This window comes from Homo sapiens, chromosome 11 (genome assembly GCF_000001405.40).
Source record: "Homo sapiens chromosome 11, GRCh38.p14 Primary Assembly".
NCBI lineage: Eukaryota > Metazoa > Chordata > Mammalia > Primates > Hominidae > Homo > Homo sapiens.
In genome coordinates, this window is record NC_000011.10 from 57297898 (window position 1) to 57325109 (window position 27212).

The 27212-nt window shown below is 55.1% G+C and overlaps 1 protein-coding gene across 4 annotated transcripts, besides 6 other annotated features; it reads right to left on the reverse strand.

Annotated features, from left to right (window-relative positions):
• Positions 1-1744: 1744 nt before the first annotated feature.
• On the reverse strand, positions 1745-27055 carry TNKS1BP1 (tankyrase 1 binding protein 1). Of its 4 annotated transcripts, none has more exons than NM_033396.3 (12): positions 26943-27055; positions 23895-24053; positions 22182-22815; positions 19921-19990; positions 14637-15992; positions 10498-12659; positions 4562-4928; positions 4177-4327; positions 3910-4046; positions 2987-3144; positions 2631-2703; positions 1745-2184 (listed from the first exon to the last, which is right to left on the reverse strand). In NM_033396.3, exons 2-11 carry the CDS (start codon positions 23986-23988, stop codon positions 2643-2645), a joined length of 5190 nt encoding a protein of 1729 aa, NP_203754.2. In that variant the 5' UTR covers positions 23989-24053; positions 26943-27055; the 3' UTR covers positions 1745-2184; positions 2631-2642. The 4 variants fall into 4 exon arrangements, with proteins under 4 accessions (NP_203754.2, XP_006718788.1, XP_047283741.1 ...); XM_006718725.4 differs by lacking the exon at positions 26943-27055 and adding an exon at positions 24340-24431; XM_047427785.1 differs by lacking the exons at positions 14637-15992; positions 19921-19990; positions 22182-22815; positions 23895-24053; positions 26943-27055 and adding an exon at positions 13341-13621.
• Positions 2022-3221: an enhancer, noted in NCBI's record as "CDK7 strongly-dependent group 2 enhancer chr11:57067393-57068592 (GRCh37/hg19 assembly coordinates)". NCBI's record gives its function as "activates an origin of replication core promoter dependent on BRD2, BRD4, P300/CBP, MED14 and CDK7 cofactors, with strong dependence on CDK7, by STARR-seq in HCT116 cells {active_cell/tissue: HCT116}" and the evidence as "EXISTENCE:reporter gene assay evidence [ECO:0000049][PMID:35650434]".
• Positions 5140-5677: an enhancer, noted in NCBI's record as "H3K27ac-H3K4me1 hESC enhancer chr11:57070511-57071048 (GRCh37/hg19 assembly coordinates)". NCBI's record gives its function as "activates a minimal SCP1, AML or CMV promoter by ChIP-STARR-seq in naive H9 embryonic stem cells {active_cell/tissue: H9 hESC(naive)}" and the evidence as "EXISTENCE:reporter gene assay evidence [ECO:0000049][PMID:30033119]".
• Positions 5678-6213: an enhancer, noted in NCBI's record as "H3K27ac-H3K4me1 hESC enhancer chr11:57071049-57071584 (GRCh37/hg19 assembly coordinates)". NCBI's record gives its function as "activates a minimal SCP1, AML or CMV promoter by ChIP-STARR-seq in naive H9 embryonic stem cells {active_cell/tissue: H9 hESC(naive)}" and the evidence as "EXISTENCE:reporter gene assay evidence [ECO:0000049][PMID:30033119]".
• Positions 6214-6750: an enhancer, noted in NCBI's record as "H3K27ac-H3K4me1 hESC enhancer chr11:57071585-57072121 (GRCh37/hg19 assembly coordinates)". NCBI's record gives its function as "activates a minimal SCP1, AML or CMV promoter by ChIP-STARR-seq in naive H9 embryonic stem cells {active_cell/tissue: H9 hESC(naive)}" and the evidence as "EXISTENCE:reporter gene assay evidence [ECO:0000049][PMID:30033119]".
• Positions 13374-13583: a silencer, noted in NCBI's record as "silent region_3343". NCBI's record gives its function as "represses an Ori minimal core promoter by ATAC-STARR-seq in GM12878 lymphoblastoid cells {active_cell/tissue: GM12878}" and the evidence as "EXISTENCE:reporter gene assay evidence [ECO:0000049][PMID:35858748]".
• Positions 26859-27138: a silencer, noted in NCBI's record as "silent region_3344". NCBI's record gives its function as "represses an Ori minimal core promoter by ATAC-STARR-seq in GM12878 lymphoblastoid cells {active_cell/tissue: GM12878}" and the evidence as "EXISTENCE:reporter gene assay evidence [ECO:0000049][PMID:35858748]".

Here is a 27212-nt window from a genome sequence, read left to right on the forward strand (position 1 = left end):
AGGTGTACAACCTAGGCACAGAGCCTCCACAGAAAATGGGACCACAAGACAGAACTGCCATGGAGGCAGGACCACCACCCCAGTGGGTCCAGAAGACAGGACTTCTCTACCCCTGTGGACTTAAGAGGGCAGAGCCTCAAGTCAAAGATGACTATTTTCCAGCCTTAAAGTTTTGTACTTGCTAGAGATCTGTTACCCCTTCCTTCCTATTTCTCCCTTTTGGAATGAGAATGTCTATCCTATGCCTACCTACCCCACCAGTGTATTTTGGAAGCACATATTCCACATGTTCACAGCTGGAGAACATTTTGCCTCAGGATGAATTATGAATTATGCTTTGAGTCTCATCCGTATCTTTTTTTTTTTTGAGACAGAGTCTCACTGTCACCCAGGCTATAGTGCAGTGGTGCAATCTCAGCTCACTATAACCTCCACCTCCAAGGTTCCAGCGATTCTCGTGCCTCAGCCTTCTGAGTAGCTGGACTACAGGCACACACCACCATACCTTTTTTTTTTTTTCTGTATTTTTAGTAGAGATGGGGTTTTACCCTGTTGGCCAGGCTGGCCTTGAACTACTGATCTCAAGTGATCCGCCCACCTTGGCCTCTCAAAGTGCTAGGATTACAGGTGTGAGCCACCACGCCCAGCATTAGATAATATTAAGATGAGACTTTAGATGGGTAGAAAGCCATGGTCTGAATGTTTGTGCCCAACATTTGTTAAATGTTGTTAAATTCCTAACCTCTAAGGTGCTACTAGGAAGAGAGGACTTTCCAGAGCAAGGTGGCTCAGGCCTTAATGCCAGCACTTTGGGAGGCCAAGGTGGGCAGATCACTTGAGGTCAGGAGTTCAAGATCAACCTGGCCAAGATGGTGAAACCACATCTCTATTAAAAATACAAAAATTAGCCAGGTGTGGTGGTGAGTGCCTGTAATCCCAGCTACTGGGGAGACTGAGGCAGGAAAATCACTTGAACCTGGGAGGCGGAGGTTGCACTGAGCTGAGATTGCACCACCACACTCCAGCCTTGGTGACAGAGCAAGACTCCATCTCAAAAAAAAAAAAAAAAAGGGAAATGTTTAGTTCATGAGGTTGCAGGTCTCACAAATAGGATTAGTGCCCTTATAAGAGAGGCCCCAGAGAGCTCCCTTGTCCCTTCTACCATGTATGCGAGGATGCAGCAAGAAGGCACTCTCTATAAACCACAAAACAGGTCCTCACCAGACACTGAATCTGTCAGTGCTTTGTTCTTCAGCTTCCTGGCCTCCAGAACTGTGAGAAATAGGCGTCTGTTGTTTATAAGCCATCCAAGTCTACAGTATTTTGTTACAGCAGCCTGAATGGACTCAGAGTATCTCCCACAAAAGATTCCCCCTTTCTCCATTAGATGGGGCAGAAGACTCCAAGCCCTGAAGATGGCCGAGCCACAACAGGGAAAGAGCCTGGGCTCTCAATGACATCAAGGTGCAGAGTGCCCCTATCACCAGCCCACCCTGGACTGTGTCATGGATGAAATATAAACCTTTTTGTGTTAAACTACTAAGATTTAGAGGGTGTCTGAATTCTTGATCAGCCTATTGTAAACAATATACCCTTCTCAGTGATGTCAGTAAAAGGGAAGTGACACATCCAGTGTCAGAGTGAGCCCCTGGTGGGGCAGAGTGGGAATCAGCATTTTCCAACCACAGCCTTGGAAGAGGAAATGGGCAGCCATGACCACGTACCACCACCTGGACAGCACCAATTCCCAAAAAACTTTATTTATTGTTTCAAGTGGCAAAATGTCATTGGTCTCTGTGGGGTACCTGGCGGGGCAGACGGAGACCTGGGGTGAGGCAGGGATACAGTCCCACCCATTATAAAAATCAAAGGCTTTTATAAAAAATGCTATAAATTGGTATCAAAAGAAAACCCAAGGGAGGCTGGAGGAGGAAGCAGAGAGGGAGAGGGAAGGAGGAGAGGAAGGGACAAAACCTTCAACCACTAGTGATGAAATCCAGGGAAGGGAAGGTGTGGGGGGAGTTCGGAGGGTGATACAAAGTGCATAAATGTGCCTCCCCAGACGCTCCTCAGAGGTGGAGGGGACAGAGGCTGCAGCCTGGGGCATGGTGGGGCTCCAGCCGTCTCCTCACCCAGGGACCCCACAGGAATGGGCACTGCCTGAGACTGCCAGGTGGGAAGAACCTGCAATGGGAAGGGAGGAAAAGACATCAGGGAAGGACACTGTGGAGGCTTCAGCTTCCTCTCCCCTACACCCATCTTGGTGCCCCCAGCTAAGCCTGGTCATGGAGCCTGGTAAGTGCCCACAGGGTCCCAGACCAGAAGGGCTGGCTGACCACTCTCCGTCCAGCCAGGGAGCATGGGGGGACTGTCCCTGAGCACAGGGAAGCAGGCCAGGATGGTAGCCCTTCTCCTCTTCCACACCAGGCCAGACAACAACCTGACCTCCCTGTGGACAAAATCTAGAGAAGCCAAGGGCCTACCGAGTCTCTGGAGCTTGGCTTCACCTGCTGTTTCTAAACTTGCACAGAAAGGGGTGGGAGCTAAGGGACAGAAGGGGCATGAGGCCTCCGAAGCCTCCAGGGCAGGCCCTCCTCAGACTGGATCCAAGCCCAGGAACCTGTCCTCACCTCAGTGACTTCTCAGACCTTCTTCTTCTTCAGTTTCAGGGCTTGAAGCCAGTTGGGCGACGATCCTTCTGACCTAGGAGGCAGACGGCAAAGGTCCAGAATGCAAACTTTGAGGAAACTGAACACAACAAGGAGACGTGATAGGGACAGAAACCACCCTCTAACCAGAAGAGGCAGTCTGGGGCCTGGCTGCAGGGACCCAAATTCTGACACCATCTTCATACCGTTCATCTGGGGCATGTCCGACTGAGGTTCCTCTTTGAGCCTCAGTTTGCCTCTTCTGTGAAGTGAGAGTTTCCCTTTTCATCAGGGTAATACAGTGAGGTCAGCGGATGCCCAGAGCTTAGGTCACCTACCCTGAGGATTTCTCTGGCTTGGGAGGTAACGTGAGGGGCTTTCCCAGTCCTGGGACCTTGCAGGATTTCGAACGCTGGACCGCGGACTCCTTCTGGCTCGACTTGCTCTCAGCCAGCTCTCCCTCCTCAGCTGAGCGATTCCGGGGGCGCAGCTTGGCCTGAGAAGCAAGTCCAGAAGCAGATAGATAGTAGAGGGACAGGCAGTAGGACTCTCAGGGGGTAAGACCTTATCTCAAGAGTGTGCAGTCCCCAGAATCAAGCAGAGACCCCTCTGCAGTCCTTTCACCCCAAAGGATGGGAAGTCACTTAGAGATGCACTTCCCGCAGAACTGAGCTATGCCTTGCACACCTTTCTGTCCTCAAAAACATATGGCAGGATTGAATTCAGACAAACTGGGTGGGACAAAGCCAGTGGTGACTTCCCACCCCTGTTCCCTCTGCCTGCAATGCCACCCCACCATCCCAGCTCCAGGAGCCAACTCCTGTGCCTGCCGCCGGCTAAGATCAAATACATACAAGAGGCCTTCTCCAATCCACCCTCCCTTCCCATCCCCCTCCACTCTGCTGTTAGGAAATAACTCCTCTCTCTCTGAACAGGCCCAGCCCTTATCTGTGCCTCTCCTCAGGGACACCTAAACTTCTTCTCTCATCCAGGCTAATTATGGGCATCATGTCTCCCACTGCCCCTGAGGTTCCAGAATAAGAACACATCTTGTTCTTCTTTCCATCCCATTTGGCACACAGCATAGGGCCCGGCGGGGCACAAAGGGATCTTCTGGAGCCCTCGATGGAGAGGAGAGTGAGAGGAGGAATGGGAGAGGGGGACAGGGGAATGAATTGATGGATGAAGAGAAGAAAGACAGCATGCAAGGTGGCCACCTGGCCAGATGGCTGGACATGTTTGCTTAATGATCAGATGGTACCTTCAGGGCTGAGGGGCTCAGGCCAGGAAAGAGGTTGACTTTCAGCCCCTTGGTGCCCAACGACATCCGTGTCCGGCGGCTCTGAGGTTCCTCCACTACCTCTTCATCTGAAGATGGCACCCGAGATGCCCGTGGCTCTGCAAAGGCCCGGGAAAGGGGCTCAGAAAAGGCAGCACACCCAGACTCCCCGAACCCATAACCCCTGCAAAAGCTTGGCCTAATGCCCTAGAGATCAAGAGACATCACCAAATAATACATCAGCCCTACCTGTAGAGTCCTGGAACAGGTGTGCATCCGAGTCTGCTGCCTCCGACAGGCCCAAGGTACCCCCAGGCCGAATGACCGGGGCCCGGTGCCCACGCTTGCGCCCCAAGTTGGCACGGCTCCGATACATGGCACTGTCGAGGATCTCGGTGTCCTGCTTGGGGCAATGGTGACACCACTGCCATTGCTGCCTCATCCCACGGGAGCCCCTCAACAGTAGCTGACCAGGAGCTGGACCCCTCCTGCAGCCGGAGCTTCACGTTCACGTGACGCACCTACAACCCGCTTTCTGCCTCCTGGACTGGGACTGCTCAGGGAAGCTCCAGGAATGGGGCTCTCGCTGCATCGCCCTCACCCACCCACTGTCATGGGCTCACCCTCCACTGACCTCAATGAAGGAGAAGTCCTGACTGGGGGATCTGGCAGGAGGGCCTTGGGAGGGTCGCCGAGAAGTCTGTGCTGGCCCCTGATCGCTCCACCTGGCTGCTGAAGAGCCCCAGGTGCCATCCACGTCTTCTGTCTGGCTGGCCTCACCATCAGGCTGCGGCCTCCAGGAGGGTGGAGAGTCCCTGCCAGGCTCCAGCACCTCCTCTTGGGCAGCACCTGCCCCGGCTCCTTCCTCCTCCAACAGGCCCCCAAGGCCCGAGGCCGCTGACTCCCTCCGAGCCACCGCCTTGGAGCTGCTGGCTGCCAGCATCTCCTCCAGCAGGCCCTGGGAGCCGGAGGGTGGGGGGCGGGCCGGGCACCTGCCAGGGCTGTAAAGGGGACAGAGAGAGAACGAGATCATCGTAAGGCCCCATCTCCCTGCCCTGAAGCCTACTTCACAAGCTCCTTCCCCCAGCCCCCAAACTCTCCCTTGCCCTCCTTCCCATGCTTTTTCCAGACTCCAAGGACACGGTCAGGGCCTTGAGCAACACAGCACACAGGTGAAGAGCTGAGCCAGTCTGGCAGGTTCAAATCCCTGAGACCTCGGGTGAGCCCCCTCCCCTGGAAACAGCTCAGGCTCCTCTAACTGCACGGAGTCGCTGCAAGGATGAAAGAAAAATCTAAAGCACTTAGCACAGTCCTGGTCAGCACGCACCGCAGAAGCAGCAGCCATTATTCCTGCTGCTGTTGCATGCTAGCAATGTGTTCCCTCCCAGGGCCACGTGCTCGGGCAGTCACACTCCTTGGGGTGAGCCAGGTACTGGCCCACCTGCCTCTCCGGACTCATGTTGTCTTCAGCCCCCACGTTATGCCTCTTCATTCCCCAGGCTCACAGAGCAACCAGGGACCATCAGAAGACACCCGGCCCTCACATGCTGCTGGCTTTGAACGAGCTGCTCCCTCTTCTGGAAAGCTCCCCGCACCACACCGTCCCTGGTGGTACTGTCCCCTTGGTTCAATTCTGCTTCCGAAGCTGCCCTGCCCCCTCCCAGCCACCATGGCCGCCTCAGCCCTACCAGCCCTGGGCTCCAATCCATGCCAGTTCCTGCTTCTTTCCTGTGGTTCTTTGTCCCCATAGCCTGTCGGTGAGCTCCTCAAGGGCAAAAACGGGGCCCTTTCTGCCTTTATGCCCCCAGCACCTGACCCAGAGCCTGGCTACGCGCCGGACTAAGCAAATGTTTGCCAAGCAAATGAGGGGCTGGGTCACCTTGGACCTCCATGCAGCATATGCATCTTCTGTCTGCTGCTTCCTCAAAACACAATACAGCTGGACATGGGGTGCAGGGCTCACGCCTGTAATTCCAGCTACTTGGGAGGCCAGGGCAGGGGGATCACGTGAGCCCAGGAGTTCAAGACCAGCCTGGGCAACATAGCAAGACCCCATCTAAAAACAAAATACAAACACGGCACAAGCACACCACACACTCTCTCACTAACTCATACTGCCCGCCCTGTCCAGCGGCCACTCCCCAAAATGACACATTCACATTCATCACCATCACACACACTCAGGCAGAGAGCTTGTGCGCTGTTTGTCACTCCCCCAGATGGACCTCGCACCCACCACATCTACAGGCACGGCACAGAGCCACACCTGACACAAACACACGCATCCCCGCATCCCCACACCCCCACCCCACACACACACACTCATACTACGCACAGAGGTGTGGGAAAGCCTGGCACGGCAGTGCCTGGAAGCCAGGCCCCAGGTTCCCACTGGGATTAAAGCAGGAGGAGAGTGGGGCAGGTGAGTCAATACCAAGCAGGAAGAGGGGGCAGGGAGAGAGAGCATGAGTGGTAGTCTGTCCTTCCACAAGCTGCTGACAGATGGAAATTAAAGTGGTCTGGGGAGAGACATTGGGGGAGGAGGCAGTGGCGGCAGCAGAAGTACAGCAAGGCAGCAGAATTGGGAGCAGCCCTGGCTGGGGGCCAAAGCCAGCTCACCCTGACAGCCAGCTTAAAATCAGGGAGAATTTGGAGGGAGGGGGTGGCAACAGCACCCCACCCAGACTACAGAGGCCAGGCCCAAAGCCTCTCCCTGGGGTGGGGCAAAAGAAGGCTAAGGGCAGGCCCCATGAGCTAAAGAGATGTGAAATGCCCTGGCTCACGCCTGTAATCCCAGCACTTTGGGAGGCCAAAACAGGCGGATCACCTGAGGTCAGGAGTTCCAGACCAGCCTGGACAACATGGTGAAACTCTGTTTCTACTAAAAATACAAAAATTAGCCAGGCATGGTGGCAGGCACCTGTAATCCCAGCTTCTTGGGGGAGACTGAGGCAGGAGAATCGCTTGAACCCGGGTGGTGGAGGTTGCAGTGAGCCAAGACCGCGCCACTGCACTCCAGCCCAGGCAACAAGAGCAAAACTCCGTCTCAAAAAAAAAAAAAAAAAAAAAAATCCACTCCTAAAGCGAGAGGTGGCCCAAGCCACTCAGGCAGAGGTCAGTGAGCTCTGGAGGTGGCCTTGAGGAGCAGAGAGTGGCGAGTGGGGAAAACCCAAGAAAGTGCAGCTACGTCCACCCCGCCGGACTAAACCCCACTCGCCCTTCACCCCATCTTAGAAGCAGCTTTCCTACCCCTAAGCACCCAGATCATGTATAAGCTGAGCCCCTCCCGGCATGGGAGCAGGAAAGAGGGGTAGTTAGGAACACAGGGACTGAGTCCTGCCACTCCAGGACACAGCTAGGCTCTGTCTCCTCCTATGCCTGTGGCTTTGACCACAAGTTATTTGTCCCACTCTGAACCTCAGTTTATCTGTAAAATGGGGATAATAAAAGTACATAAACTGTTCTAGTTTGTTGGCAGAAATATGTGCCTAACACATAGTTAGCACTTGACAAATACAACAAATTATTAGGATAGTCATTATCATCCTCAACACGGGTCCCTGGCCAGAGAGGATGTGCCTCATCTTGTCGCATCTACACCCTTCACCTGGTCTAAACTTTAGAGTACCCTGAGGACCAAGACGGTATCCCACCCCACCCTCCACCACTGCTCCAGAGGCAAACATGGCGCTGGAACTACAAAACGTGAATATCCCAGTGTTCTGAGACCTGAAATGAGGGAGGGGTGAAGCTGGAAAGATGTGTCTAGAGAAATAGCAGCTGACCTTGACCCCAGAGAGACAGGGAGGGTGCCCAGAGAAGACTGCACGGCTTGGGCCCAGGGAGACAAGAAGAACCCACAGCCACCAGCCGTGGGAACCGGTGCAAGTCACACTGCCTCTCTGGGTCTCAGTTTCCCTAGTTTTTGTGAGGAACAATTAACAAAACCCCATGAGTACTGGGAGTAAGTTACTCCCAACTTACAGACGAGGAATCGGAGGCCCGCAGAAGAGAACAAACTTGCCCAAGGTCACAGAGGTGGTGACAGAATCAGAACGCAAGCCTGGCAGATGGACCCAGAGCCAGACCCCTCTGAGCTATTCTCAAGGACTTCTCGTTACAAAGGGAACCTCCAAAATTTTCTTTAAAGAGAAAGTGCCCATAGTGGGCCAGGCATGGTGGCTCATGCCTGTAATCCCAGCACTTTGGGAGGCCGAGGTGGGTGGATCACCTGAGGTCTGTCTGGAGTTCAAGACCAGCCTGGCCAACATGGTGAAACCCCATCTCTGCTAAAAATACAAAAATTAGCCGGGCGTGGTGATGTGCGCCTGTATTCCCAGCTACTCAGGAGGCTGAGGCAGGAGAATCGCTTGAACCCAGAAGGCAGAGGTTGCAGTGAGCCAAGATCGCACCACTGCACTTCAGGCTGGGAGCCTGGGCGATAGACCAAGACTCCGTTTCAAAAAAAAAAAGAGAAAGTGCCCATAGTGTAGAATTTCCCTACATCAGAATTTCCCTGCTCAGAACACTAGGTTCTTGGACATTAGCCAAATTAGCTTGGAAAATACTGCATTACTTGTCTTTAAGGTACTAATATATGCTAATATACAGACTAAGTCTTCTGTACGGCCACAGAGTACCCAGCATTTTCCAAACATATTCACAGACTGGTATTCTTTAGGACACATTTTAGAAAAGGCTGCCCGAAAGCATAAAATTCAAACAAGCCCCTCGAACTCCTCTCTAAAGCAACTGTTTTCGTTCGGCTTTTTGAGGAGCCGTGCTTTCTGTTAGGAGCCACGCTTTCTGTTGCATACAATGAGGCTCACCTGTATGGCATCACGGCTAACCCCTGAACTCGGGTTAAAGTCAACACTGGCCAGATTACGGTAACACAACCACAAAAGCCTGGGTGTTTTAAAGACACAATGATGACACTATCCTCCTCTTCCCCTAACCTAGTCCCATCACAATCCCCGCCCCACCTCCCTCCATCCTAAACTAAGGGAACAAGATGATCACTTTCCACTTCTTAAGAGCCACCCCACACAGAACGGAAAGGCAGAGAGCTGTGGTGGTGGGGGGGGGGGTTGGGTGGGAGGGGGGCAGTGGTCCCACAGTGGCCACACCTGAAAGCAGTTAACATATACAAGTGAGAAAGAGGTACTCCTGACTCTTTGCCCTTAAGGGGTCACACCACCTTTCGACCCTCCAGCGGAGAGGATAAAAATCACTTTCCTGCTTCACAGAGCAGCTGTGAAGATCAATGAGGTAAGACGTGTGGTTAAGCATGGGGTGTGCAAAGTTCTATGAGTCCCAGGAAGAGAAATCAGGAACAACCACGCCAAGCCTGGACTCTCCCCTGCACCAAGAACATTAAAGCTGGAACTCTGCACTTCCTGAGTCAAACCCTGAGAAACTGAGGCTCAGAGCCCAGCAACCTGCCCAGGACCACAAGGGCCTCCCAACTCCTAGTCCTGCGCCCTCCCCTCGTCCCTGCAGTCCTCAATGCAGCCTCAGTGGTTCCCTGTGCTCCGTCACCACCCCGTCAACAGCCTGAGTCGTCAGGAAGCTCCACTTCCTCAAATCCCCCTGGGCATCTCACTGGGCCCATCTTCCTCTCTCCCTTCTCCTCCTCCATCCCAAATGCCTCTCCAGAGTCCCCAAGACCACCATGATATGCTCTAGCCCCTTCCTGCTCCTCTCCTCCCACCACCAACCCCTTCCACTTATAAAAGCCCCTGCCCCACACTTCCCTTGCCTTCCCCACATACCCAGTGAGAAGCTCCCACTGTGGGGCTGGAAAAGGTAACATTTTCTGCTCACTAAAGGGAATAAAAGCGAATCTCAATGGATGGAAATGTTAACAAAACGGATGCAATGCCTTTTTAGCACGTTTCTCAGCTGCAAAACCATCTCAGCTGGTTTTAAAACATCCATGAAACAGACTGTGCTTGCCTTGCAAAGCCTTTGGAAAGTTCTTTCAGCAAATTTGCACAGAGGCCAAGGTCATGGGGCCAGGTCCCCATACCCTTCAGGTTCTTGAACTTGCTATTCCAGGCTTCAAGACAGGACAGGCAAGAAGCACCAAGTACCTAACCTCTTTGAGAACCCGTGGGTTCCACTGTCCACTCCACTCCTGGCTGTGGTGGCCCCAGCCAAGAAGACACGGAATTCTCTGCCCTATACCTATGAAACCACCTGTGGCTTCAGGGCTGAGAGGCCTGGGGAACGGCTACTGTGTACAAGAGTAGAACCCATCAGAAACCATCCAAGCTATGACATGCACCATTTCCCCCGTCACAGTCACAATTCCAAATCACCAAGCTCAAACATGGGTTGCAAAAGTAACACATTAGTCATCCTTCAAAAAAGGAACTCACCTGTATGTGTATCATATTTCAATTATTTTTAAGTAGAACTAAAAATTCTTAGTCCAAAATGTCTCAATTACCCAAACACTAAAAGTCCTCAGGAAAAACTGTTTCTTCCCTCCTCAGAAAGGTTCCGATTTCTTGGACAGCCTTCACATGTTCCCTCCCACACTTGGGATGGGGCTCCGTTCATTACCTTGCTCCGAAGCTGAGGGCTTCTCCTGTCTCCATTCCAGGGTCTGCAGGGTGTGGCTCCAAGGAAGACGAGGAGTAATCTTCACCCTGGGTCTCTGGCCCACTTGTCTCACCAACCCCCAGCTCCCTGGCCTCCAAGGGGTCTCTGGCCTCCAGGCCAGGAGACAAGCTGCCATTGTGCCTCAGGCCGGGCTCTGGGCACTGGCTCACCCCGCCCACCCCATGCTCCCTGGCTTCACTTGGAGCCCCAAAGAGCTCCACATTCTGGGGCGCCAAGTCCTGGGTCCAGTCCATCTGCCCCACTCCACATCCCCGTAGCCCCTGAGAACCTCCAGAGTCTGGGTCACAGGTCACCTCCAAATCCCTCAGGCCCAGATTGTTACCCCAGTCCATCTGGCCCACCCCAAGCTCTTTGGACTCTCCAGGACTGCAGACTGCCCCTGGGGCCATGTTTCTCAGCCCAAGGTCAGGTGTCCAGTCTGCCTGTCCAACTCCACGCTCCCTTGATTTAAGGAACTCTCCGGCCTCCACACCTGACCAGTCAGTCTGCCCCACGCCACTCTCTCTGGCCTGGCTGTGGCCTCCTCCCTCCCCGACCTCAGCCAAATCTTTGCTCTTCACATTAACATCAGAAGTCCAGTCCTTCTCCCCAACTCCGATTCCCCCCGGCTCTTCAGACCCTCCACTTTCCAAACAGCCGGTCAGGTTCATGTCTCTCAAGCTCAGGCCACCTGACCAGCCCATCTGTCCCACGGCACTCTCCCTGGCCTCGCTCGAGCCCCCAGAACCCACACAGCTGGACACTTCCAAGTTCCTGAGACCCAGCTGGTCAGTCCAGTCCACCGAGCCAGCTGTGGTCTTCCCAGGAGGCACAAAGTGACCACCTTCCATCTTGCTAGAAGGGCTAAAGCCAGCACCACTCACTCTGTCGTTGCCAATGATGCCAAACTGATAGCTCCTCTCACTGGCCTCGATGCAGAAGTCCCGGCTCCAGTCCTGCTGCCCTGGGCTAAATGCTGCCTCTCGCTGGGGGCCAACACTGAGGCTAAACTCACCGACCCAGCCTCGCTTTCCCATCTCCCCATCTTCCAGGTCAGCACTGCCAGGGCCCTGAGCCCCTGCCTGCTGTCTCTCCTGATGCCCTCCCACCTCCTGGCTAGCATCACTGTTTTGCCAGCTGCTCTGGTCTCTCTGCCCGAGTGCCCCATCCGGCACGTGGGCAGTGCTAGGACTGAACAAGCCCCCGGATCCTCTCTCTCCTGGCCGGCCAGCATCCCTGCTGCCCTCTCCAAGGCTGTCTTCCACACTTGGAATCTTCTTCTCAAATTCCTCATCCTGTTGCTGGGCTTCCTCGGGGCTGAACCCAGAGCTCAGGGGTCTCGTTCCAAAGCTTCTGTCCTGGGCGTCAAGGGTCCTGGAGCTGCCACCACTGCTGTAGTCCCTTATCCAAGCGCTCTTCCCAAACTCCTGTTCCTGTGGCTCCGCAGCCCGGCTGCCATAGGTGCCGAGTGACACATCTCTCTTCTGAAACTCCCAGTCCTGCTCATCGGCATCCTGGCTGCTGTACCTACCATGGTGGTCCCTCTTCCCCAAATCTTGGCCCTGCTCGTTGGCATCTTGGCTGGCATAAGCACCCAGAGAATCTCTCTTCCCAAATTCCCAGTCCCCAAGGCTTACATCTCGACTACTGTAGGTACCCAGTGAATCTCTCTTTCCGAATTCCTGGTCCTGGAGTTCTGCATCCCGGCTGGAGTAAGTGCCCTGGGAATCCCTCTTTCTGAACTCCCAGTCCTGAACATCTGCCTCCTGGCTCCGCTGAGTGCCAAGCTGGGCTGGCTTTCCAACTACCCGGTCCTGGGCTGTGAGCACCCCTGGGGCAGACACTTTACTCTGGTCTTGGCTGCTGCTGGCCTCCATCTCCTCCTGGCCGATGCCACACCTGCTGGCCCACTCCCTGGTGCTCCCTTCCCCTGCTCCTTGCCCATACTTGCTGGTCCAGTCCCTCTCTCCGAGACCTGGGTCTCCTCTAGGGCTTGCACCCCCAAGGCCATAGTCCTGAGAAGCACCTTGACACCAGCTGGAAGGACTGAAACTGCTGGGCTGTGGGTCTCCTGTGATCCCAAATTCACTCTGCAGATCTTTCTGGGACCAGCCAAGGAGTCCCTGGGAATAAGAAAAAAAAACAGACAAAGAAACAACGATTAGATTCCATCAGGGTGGGAGTCAATCCAGCAGAGTCAGCGCTGCCTAGTGCCTGAAAGCCCCACTTTGGCAACAGAAAGCTGTGTGACCTTGAGCAAATCACTTAACCACTCTGGGTCTCAGCGTCCTCATCCTTAAACGAGGATAATTCCTATTGCATGGGGCTGGTGTGAGAGGATTAAATGAGATCATTTAGACCAAGCACTCAGCATAGTGCTTGGCATGCAGTGGGCACTCAATCGATGGTCCCATGGTCATGTTTACAACTCTTGGGCAATACTTGGCTAACAGCCAGGAGAGGAGTGGTCTTCACACAGGAATGGCAGGCAGTGCACTTTCCTTTTGATTAGGAGAGGTCAAGATTCAAAGCCTCTCTGCGACTTCCCTTGCAAGGCAAGGTTCCAACACCAATGACAGCTTTTCCAGCCCGTCCTCCCCCATGCCCCATCTGACCCCCATCCTCCTATAAGTACCCAGGCCCTTCTTCCCCAGCCAAAGTGCCGTCTGCTCAATCTTCCCCAGGAAGACCTCTCAGCCCTCACCCTGGCCCAGGAAAGACAAGAGGGGCAGCCTCTGGCACAGGGGAAAATCCCAGCCAGGGCTTCTTGCACCCCACCCCCCACCTCACGCTCCCTGACTCACCCTTGTGGGCGGGAGAGCCCTGGGCTCAGGGCTTCGGAGCCGGCCAGCCTCATCCCTCAGCGCAGCGTTGGCCAGCAGCCGCTCCAGGATAGACATGCTGGCCTCCCCATCCCCAGGCTGGGCCATGGCCCCCCGCCCCCAACCCGCCTTGGGGCTGCTGGGTGCGGCCAGCCGGGCGCAGGGATAGAGCTGGGCTGCTACCCGCGCTGGGACCTGTCCGACGGCTCTGGCGCTGGCTCTCCCTCACCCTGGCCCTGCTCCCTCCGGAGCAGCTGCAGCTTGGGCAGCCCCGCCCAGGAGCCAGTTGAGTCACCCACATCCCGGGACAGACACACCTACTACAGGAGTCAGCTTAACCCCTTCCTGCTCCTCCTTCTCCCCGCCCCGCAGCCCCCAGAGGCCCCCTGGCTCCTCCTTTCCTGCAGCCCCGCCCCTTGCAGCCCAGGCCCGGCTTGAGAAATAAATTTCGAAAGCCACCTGGCCCCCGGCCCTTAAATTCAGAGGCAGCCTGGTAGGAGAAAGGGCACTGGGCCGGGAAACGGCGCTGGCCCGGGCCCAGCCACCAACTTGCTGGATAACTGCACAAGGCTAACCTCCTCTGAGGCCCAGCTGCCTGTCTACAAAGCAGGTCTGGAGCTCAATGTTAATAACGTTTGTAAAAGCCAACACTTCTTAAGCACTTAGGATGAGCCAGGCACTATTCTTAGCACTTTAGACATTACAGCTCATTGAACCCTTGCCAACACCCTTGGAGGTAGAACTCATCTTGTTATCCACATTTTACAGATGTGGAAACTGAGGCAGAGGGCAGAAAAGTCACTCTTTTAAGGTCACACCTGGGCAAAGGAAAGCAGAGCCAGGAGATGAACCCAGGAGCCCACGCTCTAAATGGCTACACTATTTTGCCTTGAACGATATTCCCATAATGAGAGACTGAATACTCAGCACCTGCCACGCACTGTGCCGAGAGCTTTCCACCTCGATTTACCCACAATATAACTCTAAGAGGCCAATGCTACTATCAGGAAAGCACTCTGAAGCCCAGCAGTTAAGGTACGTTCTTCCCAAGACCAATCAGCTAGCGATTGCTGGAGCTGGGATAGAGCCTCACACGAAACCCCACACACACACCGTCCTGTGTGGCTCTGCAGAGCTACAATCTGCAGGTCCACAGCTGCCTTGCTCACTACCACAGCCCAAGCTCTCGACATGTAAAATCCATGTTCAAAGAATGAAGCCCACCCAAGCCCTGGCCTCTGTCCCCAGAAGTCCCATTCTCCCTATGCCCATTCTCACCTCAGAGCAGGTACTTGGGGACTGTGTGTCCTTCAGCTCAGCTCCAGCTCCCCGCCTTGCACCGCCACCACTGGGTGGTGGTGAAGCCAGGAGGTCGTCCAGCCAGCGGGAGCTGCTTTCAGGGCCTGGAGGCTCGGGGGATGCCCTACACAAGTCTTGAGCCTCTGTCCTGGCTTGGGTGGTCTCAGCCCGGGCTAGGGTCACGGCCTCCTCCTCAACAGGCAGTGCCTGTCCAGGCTCAGGGGCATCAGCAAAGAGAACACAGGGCTGGTCAGGGGCTGCTGGCTGCTCCTGCCCCAGGACTGGCTCCAGGATGGGCAAGGCTGCCTCCCTGGTAGCCAGGGGGAGAGGGGACTCCTGTCCAGCCAAGGGCTCCTGCGACTCGTATCTCTCCTCTGCCTGCTGCAAAGGTAATCCAGGTGTGCCCTCAGTTGTAGGCAGGGGCTCAAGGGGAACAGCTGGGAATTGAGGTTGACTCTCCCCATCGCCCTTCTGGGTGAGGGACATGCTTGGATCATCCCCCTGCACCCAGGAACTTCCTGACCCACTTGGAGCTGACCCAGCCCCTTGCCCCTGCTGAGACACTCCTTCTTCCCTGCTGGAAACGGCCAAGTTGCCAGCCTCAGCAGCCTCGGCGGCCTCACTGGCTTCAGTGATGGGGGAGGGAGGCGGGGAGTCCAGCCGCCACACGCCCAGACCCGAGGGCCTCGTGGGGAAGGTCCATTCGAAGGACTGTGATAAGCTCCAGTTGGACTCTGCCCCAAAGGGACGATCCAGGGCCAACTGGCTCCCCTGGCCTTGGGGCAGGGCAGCCAGCGAGCCCCCCAGCTTCTCCTGGTCCTGACTGGGTGACTGGAGCACACCTTCAGAGAATCGGCGCTGAACCAGGCTGGTGGGGCGGAGGTGTGCGTCACCCTTGGCCTCCTCCTCCCCGCCAGATGGAAACGTCCGAGTGAGATCCAGCAACTCACCCACCTCGATCAGGGGCCGGGGTGAGGTGGCAGGGGGCTGATCCAGGCTATGGGGCTCCAAGACCTCAGGGGGTGGGCTGCTGGGTCTGGGGGCCTCTGGAGCCCCCTCGGCAGGGAGCCCCGGGCTGGGGGTGTGGCGGGAGCCCTCGTCAGGCAGGGCTGCACTTGGAGCTGATGGAGTCACAGCGGGGCAGGGAGAAGCCTGGGAAGCTTCAGGAGTCTGGGCTTCCAGAAGCTGTGAGTGGCAGGGAGAACTCTTATCAGGCGGGTGAAGATGGGGAGAGCCAGGGCCTGAGCCTGAGGCTTCTGCGGGGAGGCCTGGGCTGGCAGGGCCTCCATTCTCTGAGGAGGGGGCTGGACTTGAGGGAATCCAGGGCTTGGAAATCTGCAAGAGAAAGAAAGGTCAAGATCCGTCACTCACCTCTCAGCGGGGCGGGGAGGGTCCCCTCCGACCCCACACAGACCCCAGGTCAGCTTCTCCCAGGCTGGGAGGAGGCAACTGGAACCCGAGGGGGTCCTCTTGGGATAGCTGGGAGGGGCCCCACAGACGACTCAAGGCAGGACTTCTCACAGAGCCCCCTTTAGACCTTCTTCCCCAGAATGCGCCTATCCTTATTCACAAAGCATAATTCCTTTCGTCTCAGGTGGTTGGAACCCCTCACCCACTCAACCCAAAGCTCATGTGAGGATCTCCTCAGAGGCCACAGTTCGGGGTCCATAACACCTGCTTTATAAAGGGAAAAGGAACATTGTGAATCTGGCTCTTGAAGCACCTCAGCATGTGGGAGTCGTGAGGGGAGAGAGGGTTTCGCGTCCAAGCAGGATTCGAGGTGCAGTGCAGCTACAGAGCAGCTCGGGGGAGTGGCTACAGCGTGCAGGGGGTGCCCCTCATGGCACAGAAGGTGCCAAGGAAGCAGGAAGGCTATGGGACCCAGGCAAAAGGCACTGGGGGGTGTGACAGCGCCTGGCTTGAGCCGTCCCAGCACTGCCTCTTACCAGCATGTGCCCTCCCTCACATATGGCAGACACTTGGTCTCTCTGAGCCTCAGCTTCCCCATCTGTACATTAGGGCTGGTGGCAACAATGCTCATCTCCCAGTTAGGTGAGGGTGAAGGGAAATGTGTGCACTGGCCCCTCGGCATAGGACTCATGGGATGATGGCGGCAGAGAGTGGGGAGGACGTGGAGAGAAGAGGGGGACAAACAAGGCACCAAGCACCTGGCACTCCACCTGTCCCCAGACAATGAAGTGACTCTGGCTCCATCTGACCTTTGCCCTCTGCAGAGGTCACACTTCCCTGGCCGCCCTCTCCCATGTCGTTAATTCTCCCACATCATCACCTACTAGGCCTGGGCAAAATAAAGGGTCCTGCTTGCTTCTCAAGGTCCCTTCTGTTCCCTCCATGCTCACTCCCCTCTGCAACGTTCTAATGTCAAAGCTCGTGCCCTTAAACTACAGCACCCACAATTCTTTCTTGTTATTGACCCTTACGCACCCATCATTCCTTGAAAACCATAACCGCTGCATCACTGCAACCCTCTCCATCATTGTTGTGATAGCTTACAGTCATCTCCATAGCCAGATGCGACCCTTCCAGCCTCTGGTTCGTTGACCTCCTCTTCCTCAGTGACTGTGCGACCCATCCTCTCAAGGTCACACCCTAGACCTCATCCTTACCAGTGGCTGCAACCTCTGCATCATCTCAATCCCAAGTATCCCACTTGCCCACCCCCACCGCCTATCTGACCGGCTCACTCTATTTCCCCAACGCCCTTATTTTCAGCCCCTCTCATAGCACAGCCCCTTAACCCTAATTCTTTCTCATTGTCCCCCACTCCCCTCATACCCTCACCTCTCTTCTTATCACCATTAACGTCACTTTTTACTCAACACTCAACTCCCTCATCTGCTTCATCATACTGTTTAACCTGTTTAAATACAGCTCTCCAATACAGCTGGGCCAATCCTAGCCCAGCACCTGAGTAGCTGCATGTGGCTGGATAAAAACACACAATCGTGACAGCTGGTCTCACTCCAGATTCACTGCTGACCTCAAGCCGGCCCTAGAGCTGCCCAGAATCCCACGGCACTCCCCCTGCCATTCACTCCATGACTCTCCCAGGCAATGTTTTAGCATCTTCTCCCGTCAGACCTCCACACCTCCCCCAATCCTCTCTCAGCTGATGGCCTTGCTTCCTGTTCCCTGAGAACACAGAGGCCACCAGCAGAGAACCCCCGACAACCCCCCCACCGCCACACACACACACACCACCTACTTCCTGCATGGGAGCCCAAGCACTCTGCCTCCCCTTCTGCTATCAGGCACTGTCCTCGCTTGGGGCTGAGGTCAATCCCTCCTCTCTCTCCTGCATCGATTTTTTTTTCCCTCTCTACTGGATCATTTCCATCAGCACACAAACTGCTCTAATTTCTTCTGTCTTGAAAAGCCAAAAAAGCAAACCAAAAAACCACTCTTGACCCCACATCACTCACTAGCTACCATCCATTTTCTTGAAAGCCCTGTCTATATTCACTATTAATATCCACAGTTCTTCTTGTCCCCTTCTCTCTTGAAACCACTCCAAACAGGCTTTCTCCTTTACCTTGCCACCTAACTACTCTCGTCAAGGTCACGGATGACCTCCCTGGAGCTGAATCCAATTCTCTGTGCTCATCTTACTTGACCTGTCAGTGGCATCTGACAGCTGATGGCGCCCTCCCCCAGTCCTGGAGGCTGTCTCCACTTGGTGGACTCTCTCACTGTCCTCCCAGTCTCCTTGGCTGTGCCTCTGGGCCCTCCCCTCCTGCACCATCCCCACTCTCAGTAATCTCAGCCAGTCTTCACAAGCATTCCTACTCTGACAATTCCCAAGTGTTCCTTTCAAATTTGCTCACTTCCCTTGAAGGCCAGACTCGACTACCCAACCATCCGCTTGACGTTTCCACATGGATGTCTGAAAACCATCTCAAATTCAACAAATCCACAAAGCAAACTCCTCCCATCTCCCCCGATCCTGCTTCACCCTTAGAAGTCCCCGTCTCGGCAACCATAAACTCATCCTTCCGGTTGCTCAGGCCAAAAGCCGTGGGGTCACCCTTGATTCTGTGCTCTCTATCTATCTGAAAGTCCTTTCCACCATGCCTTCAAATTCTATCCAGAACCAACCACTTCTCCCCATCTCCACCGTAGGCTACCTCCAGGGTCCAAGCCGTCATCATCTCTCACTTGGACTATTCCAACAGCCCCCTGACTGGTCCATGCTGCTGATCTTACCTCCCTGCAACTGATTCTTAATCCAGTGGGCCAGGTGACTCTTCACAACTAAGACAGCAGCATCCCATGCCTCTCCTGCAAACCCTTCAAATGGCCTGTTGCTCTCACTGAAGCCAAAGTCTTTCTAGAGGCCTTCGAGACTTGACACAATCCAACCCCCCAACCCGTTGGTCCTCACTACCACCTAACTCCTCTCTCACTGCCAGGCAGACATCCTGGCCTCCTTGCCAGGAAAGCACCAATGCCTTTGTACTTGCTGTGCCCTCTACCAAGAATGCTGCTCTCCAGACATGCACACAGCTCAGCCTCTGCCCTTCACAGTGACACCTTCCCTGACCACACTCGTCCCTGCACTCTCTACTCTACCTTCACAGCTATCTCCAACATCCAGCTCCTAACAGGCGCTCAGTCACTGCTTGCTGGATGGACAAATGAATCAAGTCAGATCTCCAGCTAGCAAGGGCTGTATGAGCAAAAAGGGCCATCCTGTACCTTGTTTACTCAAGAAAGCAGGCTGACCATCTTCAAGAACGGGAGTATGATGGGAAAATCTCAGCAAAAGGACTCACCCCTCTTCTGAACTCAGAAAAGGCAGCCCAGCCAGGGAAAGCATGGGAGGCAGACACAGTAGCTGCTGCCTCAGCCTAAGTTACTTACCCTTTGTGAGTACAGGTGCTCTCATCTCTCACATGGGACTAACCAGGTCTACTAGCCAGAGTTATCACAAGGATTGAGTTGGTTAACGTTCCCAGGACAGGCCCAGCACATAGTAGGGACTTAATCAATGGCAGTTGTTGTGGATACTATCATTACTGTTTATGATGAATGGCCTCATGGCCTTAACCACACCTAGCCACTTTGGTGATCAAGAGCACTGGCCCAGGAGTCGAAAAATCCCAGGGCCAGCCCTCCAGTGAGTCACTCTCCCCATGGGCCTCAGTTTCCCCATCTGAACTACAAGGAGTAGAAAAGATGATCTCATATGACCCTTCCAGCTCTAAAATACGTGATTCTGATTCATAACTGGAGGATAACTCACATCAGCAGGTAGCTCCGAGCTGGCTGCCTTAGCCAGGTCCCCGTTGAAGGCCAGGTCGGAAGGAAGGCTCCTGTGAGGGACGAGGACAGGAAATGGAAGCACGGAATGTTAGAGTCTGTCACAGAATGGAAAATGTGGGAGAGTCTCCCAGTGCAACTTTAACAGCACCCAAAGGTTAAACCCTCCTAGCCATTTACTCTTGAGCCCTGCCTGCAACTATTAGGGACACAGAATCTGTCCATTTTCCATTCGGCAAGTGCCCCAGAAAACAGTGCTTATTCCCTACCTGAGCATGAAGGGTTAAATTCCCCAGCTACTTTAGGAAAAGCATCCTGGATGCCCAGACCTCTCAACAGCTCCTAAAAAGATAACTCCTCTTTCCTTTAACCCATAAGGAGTTAAAGTTCTCCTCTAGCCAGGAAGAGTGCAGCTGGTCCTGCTGCCCTGCCAATACTTCTTGAAGAATTGCAGTGGGGGAGGGGAAGAGGAAAGAGTGATTTTCCAGGGTTGAAGTTGTTCTTAAGCCCTACTTGGAGTGAGGGAGAGAAGGAAGATGGCGGGTGGAACCCAGCCTGGGCAAGAGTGTGACCTCACAGCACCCTGGTCTGGGACAGGCAAAGGACTAGCTCTGGGGCCAAGGCTCCAGACACTTTCAGGTGAGAGAAGGGCAAGGCCAGAGGGCAGGGCAGGGCAGGGACCCTCAGCTTCCCGCTTAGCCCAGACCACACCAGCTCTTGCCTTCATAGCAGTAGGAAGAGAAAGGGAGCCTCTGAGCCCAGCAGAGCTGTTAAAGGCCCAAGGAGCCAGCCATACCTCAAGCTGGCTCTCCCAGCACTAAGGACAGCCTCTGTGCAGCTGATGGCTCCTGAGATGCCTCAGCCTCTTCCTCCAAAGTCCCGTGCCCAGCACCCCAAGAAGCACCTCCTGGCCAGCCTTGCTTTACACTAGTGGCAACTCTGGAGAAGCGTATCATATGCAAATATCTCCAACCAGCCAAAATCTCTGTGCAGACACTAGCTGGCCTGGCATCAAGATGTGTTCCTCTCGCAGGGCGCAGTGGCTCACGCCTGTAATCCCAGCACTTTGGGAGGCCGAGGCAGGCAGATCACGAGGTCAGGAGATCGAGACCATCCTGGCTAACACAGTGAAACCCCATCTCTACTAAAAATACAAAAAAATTATCCGGGTGTGGTGGCAGGCGCCTGTAGTCCCAGCTACTCGGGAGGCTGAGACAGGAGAATGGCGTGAACCCAGGAGGTGGAGCTTGCAGTGAGCCGAGATTGCGCCACTGCACTCCAGCCTGGATGACAGAGCGAGACTCCGTCTCAAAAAAAAAAAAAAAAAAAAAGATGTGTTCCTCTCTTACCTCTCCCATCAGATTCCACCTCACAGGCAGAGACTGTGCCCTACTCATCCTGACACACGCAGCCCCACCCCAGGACTGGCACACTGCTCTGACCACTGTAAGAGCTGGCACTTAAGAGCAGAGGATTTGGAATCAAACAAACATCTGTCTCTGCCTCTTAACTTGCCGAGACTATGGAGTCATTTTTGAGCCTCAGTTTCCTCATCTCTACAATGGATCTAATACTCCCTTGAACAAACAGGATGCCAACGAGGCAAAGTTTGGTGCCCAGCTCTCAGTATATAGAAACTAAACTTCTTGGCCGGGCGTGGTGGCTCATGCCTGTAATCTCAGCACTTTGGGAGGCCGAAGCAGGCAGATCACCTGAGGTCAGGAGTTCAAGACCAGCCTGGCCAACAGGGTGAAACCCCAACTCTACTAAAAATACAAAAAAATTAGCTGGGCGTGGTGGCCCACGCCTGTAATCCCAGCTACTCAGGAGGCTGAGGAAGGAGAATCACTTGAACCTGGGAGGCAGAGGTTGCAGTGAGCCGAGATCGCACCACTGCACTCCAGCCTGGGTGACAAGAGCAAAACACCATCTCAAAAAAAAAAAAAAAAAAAGTCTATTGTCTATTAAACTTCTATACTGTACATTTGAACTCTCTAACATAAACCTGCATCAACTCTGTAAAGAAAACTACAACTTTAAAAGCATACAGTAATGATAACACCATCTGCTGGGGAATGATTTGTGACCTAGATCGGGATCTGCCTGTACTCACAGCACACAACCAACCTACAGGTAAAAGTCACAACCCTATATGGGGCCATGCACTTGGTCCCCAGCCCCCACCCAATCCCACCCCACCTGACCTCCAGGCTGCCACAAAATATACAACCTCCCACCCTTCACCTCTCCTCAGGGGTCTTGCTGTGCTCTTCCCGGCACTCTGCTGGAGACTTTACTGGCCCCTCCTGGGACCATCCCCTGAAGAGGGTGCTGCCATCCTCATCCCTGGGAGCAGTGGTCGTGCCATAGGTCCTGGGGCCATATCGCGAGCTGCCATCGTGGTTAAAGGTGAGGCGGGAACCCCACAGGCGGTCGGGGCTGGCAAGGACCTCCTTCCGAGGCTGCTCCATCTTGGCCAGGATCTCTTCCACCGTGGTGGCCGCGAAGCGCTCTGAGGCTGGGCGGAAAGGGGCAGGGGCCTTCCGTACACCCCCTGGGGCTGCACATCGAGCTGGGGGTGTCAAAGGGGGTGGCTCCTCTTTCCCAGCCTCCTCTTTCCCAGTCTCTTGGGTGGCTTCTCCTCCAGTGGAGGCCTCAACCGCAGGCCTTGGTGCAAAGGGAAGGGGGCGCTTGCTGCCACCATAGGGCTGGGGTCCTGCCAGCATGTTCATCTTCCTGGCAGAAGGCAACTCAGCCAGGGGACCCCGGGGAGGCCGAGGCCCAACAGGCACCAGCAGGCTGGGTTTGGCAGGCAGGGCTGGCTTGGCAGGCAGGGCCCGGGGTTTGGGCTTGACAGGGGGTTTGGCCCGAGTGTCACCTACCAAAAGGAAAGGGTTGGTGGGGGAGCTGTCAGAAGAACCAGGAAGCAGAACTTCTTTGTTTCCTGTTCCACCTCATCTCCCACCCTCCGATTTAAGAATATTCACATCTTTCTAGGCACAAGTCATATGCCACCTCTTCCATGAAGCCTTCCTTGATTTTCTACACACATCCCCAAAGCATCTTCTCCCTTCTTCAAACTCCCAAAATGTTTTAGCCAATTCCCCTTTTAAGCTGAAGCTATTTAAGGACCCACCTGGCACCTTACTTCTTCCTGTACTGTATTTTGCCCCTAGCATAAGTTATAATTAAACAAAAGAATGAATGAACAAATGAGCCAATAAACAAATGCCTGCCTGTCCCTATCAAGCAGTCAGCCCCCCCATATTCCCAATCTAGTTTTTTCACCTTATGTGACACTCTTCTCTATCATCCATAGTAAACTTTCAATCTCAGCTGAGCTTCTCTATCCTGCCTCCAGGCTGCCTCCTCCCCCACCCACAGCACACTCCCAGGCCACCTCCCCACTGTCATCTGGTGTGTGACTGGGAATGCAAACTTACTATTGACCCAAGTCAAACAAAAGTAAATCTGCTATGGGAAGAAAAAAAAAAACAGGACCAGAAATCTACCTTCTATATAAAGCTAAATGACCTTGGAAGTACCCTCGTCCACAGTCCTCCTGATGGAATCCCGTACCTCCTACACATTTGGCTAAATAGAAGAAAAGAGTCTACACAAGGAGCCAGGAGGTCTGGGTTCAAACTCCCACTTGTACACTCCATTTTTCCCTGTGGGCCTCAGTTTTCCCCTCTGCAAAGCATGCAGCTTGATCCATATCATCTCAAAGGTCCCTGTCTGCTCTTACACCTGTTGGAGATTTATGATCCCAAACAGTTCTGAAGAGTCTCAAGAGAAGCTGAGAACCTTTCAAACTCATCCTGTACTGCCTTGGTACTCCTTCCCTATCTCAACAGAATCATCACTCAACCACCCCCCAAGACAGAAAGAGGGGGCAGCCTCTGTCCTTCCCACCCCCCTCCCAGCCACCTGGCTCCACCCTGCACCCATTGGTACCTGGCTCAGAGCCAGTAGGCACCAGCTCCTCCTCCATCTCCCGGGGCAGTGGGGAAGCCATGGCTGAGCTTTCCCTGAGAGTAGACACTTTCATCACATGCGGCAGACCCTCCTTGAGAGCGGGGAGGCAGAGAGGTATGAGCTGGGGTGGCTGCAGACCTAGGAAAAGAGAGAGAAGAGAAGGAAAAAAAGAGTTGGGCGTTGCCAGTAGGTTTAGCAGAGAGAAGTCTCCTATTTCTAACAGAGGCAGAGTGTGGGACAGGAAGAGAGAACTTGGAGTGGGGGGGGGGGGGTAGGAGGAGGTCAAGGGAGGTTCCCAACAGCCATATCCTCAACTCTTCAAAGATCCTCCCCAACTCTTATCTCCTAACCCCAAAGTCCTAGCGCTTCAGGGAGTCACTCACTGCTCCCTCCTCTGACAAGCTCTCCAAGACACCCCACTTACAGTCCCCACAGTGCCCCTTGGGTAGGACGGCCCCGCTGGAGGTGTCTACTCAAAGCAGAGCTAGAGAGCTGCAAAGTATGAAGTCTGTCTGTGAATCACCTCACGGGAGACGGGAAAAACCCGCTCCTCCCCAACCTGGGCTCCGCCCCACTGCCTGCCTCCCCCTTCCCACTCACCCTCCTTCCCTCTCTCCCTCCCTCCCGCAGCTGGGAGTGGTTCCTTCTCCCCCCTCTCCCTGTTCTCCTTCCACATCCCTGCCCCACTCTCTCCCCTCCCTCAGAACTGTCTCATCCAAACACGGAAAAATAAGGAATAAAAAGTAAACATCTGGAATATATTTTTTTCTTTAATTTCTCAATCGCTTGGCTTCAGCTTGGAATTTGATGAGGTAAAGCCAGGGCCTAGTCCTGTTGCCATAGCAATGGCCTCCCACTGGATTTCCAGGGCCTAGCCAAGAGGAAGGAGGAGCCGGCCCAGGCCTGGGCTGGGAGAACGGGACAGGGCTTGAGAACATCCGGGGGGTGGAGTGACTTGGGGGAAAATTCCCTGGGGCTCCACCTTCCACGACAGTCAGGGTGGAGCAGCCACAGCCTATGTATGAAAAGGGGTTATGTGGGCTTCACTCACCAGCCTAGGGTTGGCTTTAAGGAGTTCTGAGGGGGACAGAAGAAATTAAACCAAGAGGCACAGCCTGGTGGTAGAAGCCTGTCACATGAGCTTCAGGATCTGATATACCAAGATTCAGTGCTGGGTGGGTCTACCACTTTCTAGCCCTGTGACTTCTCCAAGCCTCAGTTTCTCCAACTGAAAAATGGGATTATTGAGACCCTGAGGGGGCTTACATGAAATAGTACATGAAATAGGCTTAGCACAATGCCTAGCACATAATAAGTGTTCAACAAATGTTGCCTATTATTACTGTGATTCCATTCAGTGTCACCAATGAGCTAACATCCCTGATAACCACCTCCTCCTCTTCCCTGACCCCAGGCTACCAGCATTCCCAGACCATTCCTTCACTCTCCCAGGCCCTAGTCCTGTCACCTGTTCTTCAGATACTCCAACCACCTCCTCAGTTCCCATCCTGACTCCTGAAGCACTCTCCCACCCACAAAAACATGGAGACCCTGGGGGATAGGGCCCTGCACCTCTCATGCAAGGCGGAAGTTTCCCTCACCTGGTATGCAGAGCCCTGAGGACAACCCAAACTTCTCCAACCTGCAAGGGGCATTGCCTCACTTAAAGTCACCCACTCCAGCTGGTCTGGGAAGACAGCACCAAATCCTTAAAAGGGACCCCCAGTGCTCATCCTCTGCAAAATCCAACACCCCTCCCCTAACGCTGACCCTGCCCCAGGTGTTTCAAAGATGGGAGAGGGTATGAAGACAGTAGAGAAACCCAGTACTGTCAACCCATTGGTCAGTTAACCACCACGGAAGACTGCCCACTGTGGGTGGGTGAATAACTGTGCAGAGCCAGGCCAAGTGTGGTGGGGGGAGGGGCACATGATAGAAAAAATAAAATTAAAACACAAGATTGTTTCCTTGTCCTTGAACATTATTACTAGGAACATAGTGTGGGTGGTTGGAGATGGAAATTAATTGGCTCAGAACCAAAAAAATCCTTTCACCTGGGGTTCTGATGGGCCCCTCTGCGGTATGAGGGGCTGCAGCAATGAAGGCGGGCTCAGAGTCCCCAGGTGCGGAGGTGGCCACAGCAACTCAGAGACCCCAGCCAGGGGCCCCAGGTGACCAAGGCCACCAAGGCTGTGGCCAGAAGCTGCGATTCGCAGCGGTTCTGAGCACTCCCCACCCTCAAGAGACCAGGGGGTAGAGGGTAGCAGGGTAGAAACGAGCTGACCCCTGGCAGATAAGGCCTCCAGAAGGGCTGGGCAGCTCCAGCCCCGGAGGGGACTCGGCGCAGGCGGGGTCGCCCCTATGGACCCCAGGATCTCCAGCCGGATCCGAGGCTAGAGAGGTCGGCAGGGACAGCACGTAAACTGCTGGAAAGAGGGAGGGCCAACGGGAAGATGGAACAGCCCCGGGCAATGGGCTGTCTGGAGGGGCCCAGTGGGGAGCTCTGGACACAGAAGGGACGGCGGCAGCCGAAGAGGAGGAGGAGGAGGGGGCTGCGGTGGCGGCAGAAGCGGAGGACCTGTGAGCGGGCTGTGAAGCAGCCGGCGAACAGACGGTGGGCTGCAGACGTCGATCAGGTGGGGGCGGACTGGGGTGGCTGGGGGCGTGCCGAAGGAGCCGGGGGAGGGGGCTAGCGCGGCCCGGAGGAAGGGGAGGCAGGGGTCCCTCCAGCGGCTCTGCCCGCCCCCGGCCCCGCCCCAAGCCCTCGCCCCCTCCCCCCTTTCTTCTGGCTCTGCCAGCACGAGCTCCAAGCCATGCGCCCTCCGCCTCCGCGCACACGCGCCACCTTCCCCCGGGCCTCCAGCGTCCCCAGCGCCCTCGGCCCCTGCAAACTTTCCTGGTGACCCCCCGACCACCACCACCTCAACCCGAGGTGTCGGCTGGAAAGCACCCACTCCTTCCATGCCCCTCCCCCGCCCCATCCCGGACCCCGCCCCCTCCTTCGCCCGACCGCCCCCGCGCACTCACGCGCTCGCCCGGGGTCCGGCTCCGCTCGGCTCGGGGCCCCGATGCCAGTCCCCGCCGCCGCCGCCGCTGCTACCGCCGCCGCCGCCGCCGTCACCGCGGGACGAAGCCACTGCGAGCCCCGGCGGGGCCCCGCCCCAACTCCGCCCAGGTCCACGCCCCCAGGGCGCTTCATGAATATGCATGAGCCGGTTGGAACCCGGGAGTGGGAAGCCCGTGCAGAATTCGTCCCACCGTCGGCAAACAGGCGCGGCCCAGCACTCAATTATTCAT